This window comes from Homo sapiens, chromosome 2 (genome assembly GCF_000001405.40).
Source record: "Homo sapiens chromosome 2, GRCh38.p14 Primary Assembly".
In the NCBI taxonomy this organism is placed as follows: domain Eukaryota; kingdom Metazoa; phylum Chordata; class Mammalia; order Primates; family Hominidae; genus Homo; species Homo sapiens.
Genome location: NC_000002.12, coordinates 230,083,910 through 230,096,409, shown reverse-complemented (window position 1 = coordinate 230,096,409; position 12,500 = coordinate 230,083,910). Strand labels below are relative to the sequence as shown.

The window sequence follows — 12,500 nt, the reverse complement described above, 5'->3', positions numbered from 1 at the left end:
GGGATACAGGCTAGCCATATGCAGAAGAATGAAGTTGGACCCCTACCTTTCACCATTTATAATAACTAACTCAAGATGGATTAAAGATTTAAATGTAAGACTTCAAACTATCAGAATCCTAGAAGAATATTTACGAAGCACCATTCTGGACATGGGCCTTAGGAAAGAATTTATTACTAAGATCTCAAAAGCAATTGCAAAAAAAAAAACACCAAAAATTGACAAGTGGTATCTAATTAAACTAAAAAGCTTCTGCACACCAAAAGAAATAGTCAACTGAGTAAACAGACAACCTACAGACTGGGAGAAAATATTTGCAAACTATGCATCCAACAAAGGTCTCATATCCCGAATCTATAGGAACTTAAACAATTGAACTAGCAAAAAACAAATAATTCCATTAAAAAATGGGCACAAGACATGAACAGACACTTCTCAAAAAATGGCATACAAGTGGACAACAAACACATAGAAAAATGCCGATCATCACTAATCATTGGAGAAATGCAAATCGAAACCACGATGAAATGCCATCTGACACCTGTCAGAATGGCTATTATTACAAAGTCAAAAAACAACAAATATCGTTGAGGCCGCAGAGAAAAGGGAATGCTTCTACATTGCTAAAGGGAATGTAAATTAGTTCAGCCACTGTGGAAAGCAGTTTGGAGACTTCTCAGAGAACCAAAAGTAGAGCTACCATTCGACCCAAGCAATCTCATTACTGGGTATGTATCCAAAACAAAACAAATCATTCTACCAAAAAGACACATGCACTTTGCAATTCGTGCAGCACTATTCACAATAGCAAAGTTATGGAATCAACCTAGGTGCCCATCAACAGTGTACTGGATAAAGAAAATGTGGCACATATACACCATGGAATACTATACAGCCATAAAAAATGAAATCATGTCCTTTGCAGCAACATGAATACAGCTGAGTACCTGGGTGACAGGATAATTCATACCCGAACCTCAGCAACATGCAATATACCCAGGTAGCAAACCTGCGCATGTACCCCCCCGGATCTAAAATAAAGGTTGGAAAAGGGAAAAAAAAGGTGATTTTTTTCCCGTATGTAAATTATATCTCAACAAATTTGATTCTTAAAAAATGAACTAGGTTATTCTAATACATCTCCTCCCACAAAAGAAAACACTAAAATTTATTTTTAAAAATTTTGTATAGATACTCCATGGTGGAATTGTTAGATCAAATGGTAATCCTACTTTCAGTTCTTTAAGGAACCTCTAAACTGTTTCCATGGTGGTTGTACTAGTTTACATTCCCCCTAGCAGTGTAAAAGTGTTCCCTTTTTACCACATCCATGCCAGCATCTATTATTTTTTGATTTTTTAATTATGGCCATTCTTGCAGGGTAAGATGGTATCTCATTATAGTTTTAATTTGCATTTCTCTGATAGCTAGTGATGTTGAGCTTTTTTTTATACGTTTGTTGGCCATTTGTATACCTTCTTTTAAGAATTGTCTATTCATGTCCTTTGCCCAATTTTTGATGGGTTATTTGGTTTTTTCTTGCTGATTTGATTGATTTCCTTGTAGATTCTGGATGTTAGTCCTCCGTCAGATGCAAAGACACTTGCGTACACATATTTATAGCAATTGCAAAAATATGGAACCAACGTAAATGCCCAGCAACCAATGAGTGAATAAAGAAAACGTTGTGTATGTACACTATGGAATACTACTTAGCCATAAAAAAAATAGTGGTATTTGCAGCAACTTGGATGGATTGGAGATTATTATTCTAAGTGAAGTAGCTCAGGAATTGAAAACCAAATATCATATGTTCTCACTTATAAGTGGGAGCTAAACTATGAGGATGCAAAGGTATAAGAATGATATATTGGACTTTGGGGACTCAGGGGAAAGGGTGGGAGGGAGGTGCACTATTTGGGGCATACTTATACTAAAAAGTATTCATTGTTTATCTGAGACGCATATTTAACTGGGCACTATTTTTTAAAGTTTTATTTTAGGTTCAAGGGTACATGTGCAGGTTTGTTACTTAGGTAAACTCATGTCACAGGGATTTGTTGTACAGATTATTTCATCACCCAGGTACTAAGCCTAGTATCCAATAGTTATTTTTTCTGCTCCTATTTCTCCTCCCACCCTCCACCCTCAAGTAGACCCTAGTGCCTGTTCTTTCCTTCTTCATGTCTGTAAGTTCTCATTATTTAGCTCCCACATATAAATGAGAACATGCGGTATATGGTTTTCTGTTCCTGTGTTAGTTTGCTAAGGATAATGATCTCCAGCTACATCCATGTTCCCACAAAGCCATGGTCTCTTTTTTATGGCTGCATAGTATTCCATGGTGTATATGTACCACATTTTATTCAATCTGTCATTGATGGGCATTTAGGTTGAATCCAGGCCTTTGCTATTGTGAACCGTGCTGCAATGTACATTCATGTGCATGTGTCTTCATGGTAGAATGATTTATATTCCTCTGGGTATATACCCTGTAATGGGGATGCTGGGTCAAATGGTAGTTCTGCTTTCAGTTCTTTGAGGAATCACCATACTGCTTTCAACAGTGGTTGAACTAATTTACACTCCTACCAACGGTGTGTAAATGTTCCCTTTTCTCCACAACCTCACCAGCATCTGTTATTTTTTTAGATTTTTCTAATAGCCATTCTGACTGGTGTGAGATGGTATCTCATTGTGGTTTTGATTTGCATTTCTCTAATGATCAGTGATGAAATAATTTCATATGCTTTTTGGCTGCATATATGTATTTTTTTGCAAAGTGTCTGTTTATGTCCTTTGCTCACTTTTTAATGGGGTTGTTTGTTTTTTCCTTGTAAATTTAAGTTCCTCATAAATGCTGGATATTAGACCTTTGTCAAATGCATAGTTTGCAAATATTTTCTCCCATTCTGTAGGTTGCCTGTTTACTCTGTTGATAGTTTCTTTTGCTGTGCAGAATCTCTTAAGTTTAATTAGGTCCCATTCATCAATTTTTGCTTTTATACTGATTACTTTGAGCATCTCCATCATGAAATCTTTGCCTGTTCCTATGTCCAGGATGGTATTGCCTAGGTTGTCGTCCAGGGTTTTTATAGTTTTGGATTTTACATTTAAATCCATCTTGATTTGATTTTTGTATATGGTATAAGGAAGGGTTCCAGTTTCAATCTTCTGCATATGGCTAGCCAGTTACTCTGGAACGATTTACTGAATAGGGAGTCTTTTCCCCATTGCTTGTTCTTGTCAGCTTTGTCAAAGATCAGATGGTCATAGGTGTGTGGTCTTATTTCTGGTTTCTCTATTCTGTTCCATTCTTCTATGTGTCTGTTTTTGTACCAGTACCATGCTGTTTTGGTTATGCAGCCCTGTAATATAGTTTGAAGTTAGGTAATGTGATGCCTCCAGCTTTGTTGCTTTTGCTTAAGATTGCCTTGGCTATTTGGGCTCTTTTTGGATTCCATATGAATTTTAAAGTAGTTTTTTCTAGTTCTGTAAAGAATGACATTGGTAGTTTGATAGGAATAGCATTGAATCTATACGTTGCTTTGGGCAGTATGGCCATTTTAATGATATTGATTCTTCCTATTCCATGAGCATGGTGTGTTTTTCCATTTGTTTGTGTCATCTCTGATTTCTTTCAGCAATGTTTTGTAATTCTCATTGTAGAGATCTTTCACCTCCCTGGTTAGCTGTTTCCTAAGTGGTGTATTCTTTTTGTGGCAGTCGTGAATGGGATTGCCTTCCTGATTTGACTCTCGGCTTGGCTGTTGTTGGTTTATAAGAACATTAGTAATTTTTGTACACTGATTTTCTATCCTGAACTTTGCTGAAGTTGTTTATCAGCTGCAGGAGCTTTTAAGGCATTTTCTAGATACAGAATCATGTCGTCTGCAAACAGAGATAGCTTGACTTTATAGTTTTGAGTTTTACATTTAAGTCTTTAATCCATCTTGAGTTGATTTTTGTATGTGGTGTAAGGAAGGGGAACTCTCTATCTGACTACCCTTTATTTCTTTCTCTTGCCTGATTGCTCTAAGTCTTCCAAAGCTTTGTTGAAGAGGAGTGGTGAGAAAGGGCATCCTTGTCTTGCACCAGTTTTCAAGGAGAATGCTTCCAGCTTTTCTTCATTTCATATGATATTGGCTGTGGCTGTCATAGATGGCTATCATTCTGAGGTATGCCCCTTCAATACTTAGTTTATTGAGAGTTTTTAATAAAAAGAGATGTTTAATTTTTTTGAAAACCTTTTCTGCATCTATTGAGATAATCATGGTTTTTCTCTTTAGTTCTGTTTATGTGATGTATCACATTTATTGATTTGTGTGTGTTGAACCAAACTTGCATCCCAGGGATGAAGCCTACTTGATTGTGGTGGATTAGCTTTTTTATGTGCTGCTGAATTCAATTTGCAAGTATTTTGTTGAGGATTTTTGCATCAATGTTCATCAAATATACTGGCCTGAAGTTTTATTTTTTGTCATTGTTGCATATCTGCCAGGATTTGGTATCAGGATGATGCTGGCCTCATAGAATGAGTTGGGGAGGAGTCCCTCCTCCTCAGTGTTTTTGAATAGTTTCCGTAGGAATAGTACCAGCTCTTTTCCCTACACTTGGTAGAATTTGGTTGTAAATCCATCTGGTCCTGGGTTTTTTTTGTTGGTAAGCTATTTATTACTGATTCAATTTTGGAGCTTGTTATTGGCCTGTTCAGGGAACTAATTCCTTGCTGGTTCAGTTTTGGTGGGTGTATGTGTCCAGGAATTTGTCCATCTGTTTTCTAGTGTATGTGTGCGGAGGCGTTCATAATAGTTTATGACAGTTATTATTATTTCTGGGCACTGTATTTTTTATTTGCTAAATCTTTCATCTCCACCCCTAGGAGAAGGGTCCACAGGAGAGTGGTGCCTGCATTCCATCATGAGCCCTTCAAATGGAGCTGGTAAAAAGCCATCTTTACAAGCTAGCCCTCTCCTATCCCAGACTATTTCCTTCATTTCATCCTGCTTCTCTTTGCCTGTTCTCCTTATCTTGGGCCCTCTGACAACCCTCACCTGCCTTATTTCTTGAGATACCTCAGTTCCATAACTTATTTAATTACCCACTCCACCCCATAAACAGTCCATTGGTGACATGGCTTCCTGAAGTGATCATGGTGCTTTCTTCCAATGAGACTCTGGCATTTATTCCGGCTTCAAAGTGTGGTCCAAGAACAGAAGCGTGGGAATCACCTGGGGGCTTATGAGAACATCAGAATCTCCAGCCCCACCCCAGACTTGCAGAGTCATGTTCTGCATTTTAACAAGATCCAGATGATTTATAGACACATTGAAGTCTGAATAGCACAGCTCTGGAGACCACTGAGATTTTTGTTAGGATGACCCTAATTCCCCCTTGAATTCAGAAGAGTAGAAAAAAACTTCTCACCTCCCAAGCTTGGGGGAAGAGAGCTCTACCTCCTCCCACCTTTTGGATGTGCCCCTGAAATGGCTGTTTTCACTGCCAGGTCATTTCACAGATACCTCCAAGCCTGTTCAGCAAGAGGCTGGAGGGAGAATGAAGAGAAAGGCTCATTTGACGTATTAGGCTGTTCTTATATTGCTATAAAGAAATACCTGAGGCTGGATAATTTATAAAGAAAAGAGGTTTAATTGGCTCATGGTTCTTTCAGCTGTACAGGAGGCATAGTGTCAGCATCCACTTCTGACGAGAGCCTCAGGGAGCTTCCAATCATGGTAGAGGGTGATGGGGAGACAACATGTCACGTGGTGAGAGAGGAGGCAAGCGTGGGGAGGTGCCACACACTTTTAAACAACTAGATCTCACAAAAACTCAGAGTGAGAACCCACCTGTCACCAAGAGGATGATGCTACGCCATTTATGAAGCCTCTGCCCCCATGATCCAATACCTCCTACCAGGCTCTAGCTCCAACGAACACTGGGGATTACATTTCAACATGAGATTTGGAGGAGACAAATATCCAAACCATATCATTTGATAAACTGCTTATTTTGGTCCAATTCCAGCCCTGGCCAGATGCCCTTCAGGCTAAGAAATCAGGTTTATGCTCAACTAAATGAAGGCCATAGAGAAGAATGTTTATGTCTTCACCCCTCAGATCTTGGTTTCTCTCTCTCTTTCTTTTCCTCTCTCTCTCTTTTTATCTCTCTCTCTCATTCTCTGATGGTTTAATACAACTAGGGCATAACCTAGCAGAAAATAGAAGCTTGGGATAAGAGGAGAAGGAGTACATGAGAGTCAGTGAGGCAGTAAGTTGGGAGAGCTTGGATCAGCAGAATCATTTATGGTAAATGATCCCTTGGACACACCTCAGACTACTAAATTAGAATCTTCAGAGATGGGGCTCAGGAATCTGTGATTGAACAAACACCTGGAGTGATTTTCATGCAAATAAAGTTTGGGTGCATTTATAGCATGAGAAAATGGCTGTCAACTCCAGGATGGAAAAATTAGATATTGGGCACGACAGACTCCCAAACTGTGTCTTCTACCTGCTGCCTAGTTTGTCTGAACACCAGCAAGTACTAGCACATGGCTTTAAGGGAAGATGCGCTGCTGGATGAGAATCAAGTAGAGGTGAGTAGCTGACAACATAGCAAGCATATATACTAATATACAGTTAGTTTCCAAAAATGAGGGCATTTAAATTATTCCTAAGTCATGTGATTTCATAGAATAGGTGTACATAAAGTATACACACACACACACATACATGCACACACACATTTTCCTAATGCCTTCATAAAATATTGCAAACTGCCAGACACAGTGGTTCATGCCTGTAATCCCAGCATTTTGGGAGGCCGAAGTGGGAGGATCTCTTGAGCCCAGGAGTTCAAGACCAGCCTGGACAACATAGTGAGACACCGTGTCTTCAAATAAAAAATTAGCTAGGTGTGGTGGCACATATTTGTAGTCCCAGCTACTCAGGGGGCTAAAGTGGGAGAATTACTTGAGTCCAGGAGGTCAAGGCTGCAGTAAGTCATGACTGTGCCACTGCACTCCAGCCTGGATGATAAAGTGAGACCCTGTCTAAAAAAAAAAAAAAAAAAAAAAAAAAAATGCAAACTTTATTTTTTGCGGGGAGCCTCTCCCTTTAATTTTTATACAGACCTGAATTATATCAAGTTACAAAACAGCTTAGTCATTGCCATGGTTTGAATGTTTGCTTCAAAACTCATGTTGGAATTTAATTGTCATTGTGATGGTATTAAGACATAAGGTCCTTAAGAGGTGATTAGGTCATGAGTGAGGGTCTGCTGTCATGAACGGATTCATGTCTTTATCTCAGGAGTGGGTTAGTTAACATGGAAGTGGGCTCCTGACACAAAGGATAAGTTTGGTCCTCTCTTTCTCTGTCTTGAGCACTTACGTAACTTTCCACTTTCCTCCATGGGAAGATGCAACAAGAAGGCTCTTACCAGATGGCTGAGTATCACAGCCTTGGACTTCCCAGCCAGCCTCAAGAATCATGAGCCAACTGAATCTCTTTTCTTTATAAACTACCCAGTCTGTGGGATTCTGTTATAGCAGCAGAAAACAGACTAAGGCAGTCATATACAAATGATGCGTAAAATACTTATCAGGAATTAATCCATTTTTTCCCCACAGGTTCTTACCTGTTTCTCCTAAATAACTTGGCAAGCACTAGAATTGCTGGTACAGGAAATATTTAAATGTGATTCATGTGTTTATATATTTTGCATAAAAATTTTTCTCCAAAACTACTATTCAAAAATTCTAAGAACCAGTAGGATAGCTGTGAGGCCTAAGGAAAAGGGAGAGAGGGAAGAAGGGCAGATGTGTGACTTATGGCAATGTTTCAGGGGCAAGACTGCATAAGATATGCTATGTAGAGTACCAGAGTCAGGTGGCTTTCTTGGGGCAGGTGGGGAATGGGTCCTCTCACTCTTCTGGAAGTTTTCCAAAACCCCTTCCAGAAAATGATCAATTACCCTCTATTGTCCACCTATCCTGACATAAACATCAGGAAAACAAAACTGTTGAGCAACTTGCAATAGATAAAATGATTGTGCAAAGTCATAAATTTAGTATCAAAGTAGAGTGTGACTGAATGACACTGCCATTGATGTCTAGAACTAATATTATAGGCAATCCAGAGTATGAGGATAGTTCATTTGTACCATTGTTATGGATGGAGGGTGGGAAGCAATTGAGAAGAGAAGGACTAAAGAATAGAAAGTGGAGAAAACTTATTTGAAAGTTCCTCTCAGTTGGGTCATATGTTGGGTGTGCCATGGTTCCTGAAGAAATAGAAAATACAATTTCAGGACAGTACCTGTGATAAATCCCATTTTCCAAAGATGGTCACGACAATATCTCCATCCCACCTGCTCTTCTCCAGTGTGACTTTGCCATTCCTAACATTGAAAGATGGGATTCTAGTCCCCTTCCCCTTGCATCTGACGGGCTAGTGACTGCCTCAATCAATCAGGAATGCATCTGCCATGCTCCGGACCACTCGCACTTGGAGCCCTGAGTTGCCATGTAAGTAGTCCAATGACACTGAGGCTGCCATGCTGGAGAGGCCATGTGTAGGCGCTCCAGCCAACATCACAGCTGAGCACCCAGCTGACAAAAAGCATCTGCTGCCAGCCATCAGAGTGCGCCATCTTGCAGGTCGAGCCCAGCTGACATCTGACTGTCCACATGAGAAGCCTTGAATCAGAATGGCCCAACTGAGCCCTTCCCAAGTTCCTGATCCACTAAATTGTTAGCAAAATTAAATGTTTGTTTGTTTTGTTTTCTGATGCAGGGTTTCACTCTATCACCCAGGCTGGAGTGCAGTGGCTCATTCACAGCTCACTACAGCCTGGACATCCAGGCTCAAGTGATCCCTGCAGCTCAGCCTCCTGTGTAGCTGGGACTACAGGTGCACACCGTCACATCTGGCTTACTGTGTTTTTGTTTTCGTAAAGACGAAGTCTCACTATGTTGCCCAGACTGGTCCCAATCTCCTGGGTTCAACAGATCCTCCTGCCTTGGCCTCTCAAACTGCTGAAATTACAGGCATGAGCCACCGGGATTGCCCAAAATCAAATGGTTATTTTAAGCTGCTAAGTTTTGGTGTGATTTGTCACATAGCACTAGGAAAGGGAATAGTATCTAACTGAAACCCTGAAATTACAAAATCTCAGACTGTTTTCTTCCCTTGCATAATTATTTCTATTTGAGTATTTTTCCTTTTCTGGGAGAAAGATCTGAAATCCATACTCCGTGTGTGTGTGAATCATGATAATATTATAAGCTGACCACTTTCAAAGGGCTAAAAAGAGAATGCTGGTGTGTGGTTAATCCCACTTTCAAAGGTTGATTTGGCTCTGCTTAGAACAAAGTTGAATCTCCAAATTTTCAGCACAAGGGTAAACTTTGAAGTGTGAAGAAAAGAGGCAACTACCTATGTCAGGTGGTCTGAAAGGTTGTTATTTCATTTCCTTCTTGCCAATGATCTAATGATGGAATTACAAACATCTTCACAGATTGGTGGAAGAGATCATTGGTGAGAAGAAAATGAAATAACTAATCTTTGGGCCAGGCATAGTGGCTCATGCCTGTAATCCCAGTGTTTTGGGAAGCAGAGGCAGGCAGATCGCTTGAATCCAGGAGTCTGAGACCATCCTGGGCAACAGGTAAAACCCCGTCTCTTCAAAAAAAAAAAAAAAAATACAACAAAATACAAAAATTAGCCAGACATGGTGGCACGAGTCTGTGGTCCCAGCTACTCGGGAGGCTGAGGTGGGAAGATGACTTGAGCTAGGAGGAGGTCCAGGCTGCAGTGAGACATGATCGCATCACGATACTCCAGCCTGGGTAACAGAGTGAGACCCCGTCTCAAAAAAAAAGAGAGAGAGAGGAGAGAGAGAGAGAAAGAAAGAAGGAAAGAAAGAAAGAAAGAAAGAAAGAAAGAAAGAAAGAAAGAAGGAAGGAAGGAAGGAAGGAAGGAAGGAAGGAAGGAAAGAAAGAAAGAAAGAAAAAGAAAGAAAGAAAGAAAGAAAGAAAGAAAGAGAAAGAAAGAAAGAAAGAAAGAAAGAAAGAAAGAAAGAGAAAGAAAGAAAGAAAGAAAGAAAGAAAGAAAGAAAGAAAGAAAGAAAGAGAAAGAAAGAAAGAAAGAAACAGAAAGAAAGAAAGAAAAGAAAGAAAGACTAGCCGGCTAGCTCTTTGGGATTATCTGACTCTAGTTTTCCAATAAAGTAGTAGGGAAAAAAAAGAAAGCAAATACAGCTTAACATGAGAAGGAATCTTCTAGAATTAAAAAGCTGGTGAGTATTAGGAAATGAGCTATCATAGGTGTTCCATAATTGAACAGTCACTTGTATGGGGAGGTAAACAGGATTAGATTGGATGAGGTGTTGGCAAACTTTGTCTGAAAAGGAGAAAATAATAACTATTTTCAGCTTTGCACACCATGTGGTCTCTATTGCAACTACTTCGTGCCATTATAGCACAAAAGCAGCCCTAGGCAATACATAAGTGTATTGTCTTCCACTGTATTTACTAAAACTGTATTCTACTAAAACTGTATTTCCCCCAAATGGGTATCAAGCTGGATTTGGCCCAATTTGGTGACTACTGGTTTAGTTAATCTCCAACATTTCTTTCAACCCTTGGATACTGGCAAATTAACTTTTAGAATGCCAGCACCCCCCAATGGGTGGTCCCTTAACAATTTGAACACTAGCCTGGAATTAGTTTGCAATCCAGGCCCATGAGAATGGACACAGGTGGGCCCCCACTGGGGAGAGTCAGTGTGCAGAGGAAGAGAAAGAGTTGCTGGAAACTCTGGTCCTGCTTGACTAACAGGCTGTACATGTCTTAAAAACAGAGATGGTCTCTATATGCCCAGCTTCTATTGCAGCCGATCTCCCCACTGCCACCGCCCCCCACCCCCAGATGCAGTTCAGAAACAAGAAGAGTGCTATTTGCTTCCACCACCCTGTGTGTTGAAATGAATGACGCAGATGCATGTTCACAGCAAGAGCAGAGGAAAGGCCAATTTCGTCATCCCAGTAGTAAGGCAAGTTGAAAGCCAAAACCTGCTAACCCCTAGAGCAGGAATCTTTACGCTGTGTACATTTACCTGGGTCTGCACTCAACGAGGAGAGGCTGCACTCTAAGGGCCACTGAGATGGGGCCTGGGGACCCGCAGAGGAATAAACCAGCTCTCAAAGGGTTAATGACAAGGAGAAAAACTGAGCACATCAGCATGTTTTTTCCCTTTGGCTTTTTAAGAATTCTTTCCATCTACTAGCTTTATTTTATGCCATTCCAAACTGAGTCAGTGGCGTAGGAATCATCTAAGGATAACATGTGCATTTTAAGGAAAATAAAAAATTCGGGGCAGGAGAGAGCCTTCACTGCAAAGATATTATCCATGGTCAGAAACTTGAGATTTTTGTTCCCAAATTCCATGGATGTTAGGAGGCTCTTCCCAAGTTGTGCAGCCTCTTCCCTGCAACGTCACCCGGCAGACACTGCCATGCAGCTGTCCAGCTCCCGTAGCCTCAGTCATCCACCAGACTCCAAGAAATCTGTCCAGTGGCCTCTCCATCATGGTATTCACCTTTTGCCTTCTCTGTTCCTGTTTCTCTGTGCCACACGAAATGAGAGACTGGGGACATGCAAGCATCTGGGCTTTTGTGGGGTGTAGTGCGTCCATGTGGGGTACAGTACATCCCTGTGGGGATGCATAGCTCTCTCCTGCATTTCGTTAGGCCCAGCAAGTAGACCCTGGAAGGCTTACACATAGCAGACCCTCAAAAACTATATATTTGCACCAAATGAATTTTCTTTTTTTTTTGAGATGGAGTCTCGCTCTGTCGCCTAGGCTGAAGTGCAGTGGCTCGATCTCAGCTCACTGCAACCTCCACCTCCCCGGTTCAAGTGATTCTCCTGCCTCAGCCTCCCAAGTAGCTAGGACCACAGGCATGCACCACCACGCCTGGCTAATTTTGGTATTTTTAGTAGAGGCGGGGTTTCGCCATGTTGGCCAAGCTGGTCTTGAACTCCTGACTTCAGGTGATCTGCCCACCTCAGCCTCCCAAAGTGCTAGGATTACAGGTGTGAGCCACCACACCCAGCCTTCCGGCAAATGATTTAACTCAGTACGTTTAAATGTCTAATACACCGGGCATGGTGGCTCACACCTATAATCTCAGCACTTTGGGAAGGCAAGGCAAGAGGATTGCTTGAACCTAGGAGTTTTAGACCAGCCTGAGCAACATAGTGAGACCTCATCTTTATATTGTCTTCAAAAAAAAAATGTTTGAAAAGATAATAAAATATAAATGTACAACATGGAATTATAGCTATTTTGTACAGCAATTTTAGGTATCCCAGGAGCGATATTCAATATATTTCATATCTGGTAAGGCAAGATCACCCACCAATCAGAATGAACCCAGCCTTGGCAGGAGGCAGGTAAGGTGTAGCAAGGAACCAGGAAGCAGCTATTTACCTA

The 12,500-nt window shown here is 40.8% G+C and overlaps 1 long non-coding RNA gene across 1 annotated transcript in view; it reads right to left on the bottom strand.

Moving 5' to 3' along the window:
- Positions 1-12,500, bottom strand: part of LOC107985995 (uncharacterized) — a 75,437-nt gene that overhangs the window by 45,766 nt on the left and 17,171 nt on the right. The gene's annotated exons all lie outside the window — the stretch shown is intronic.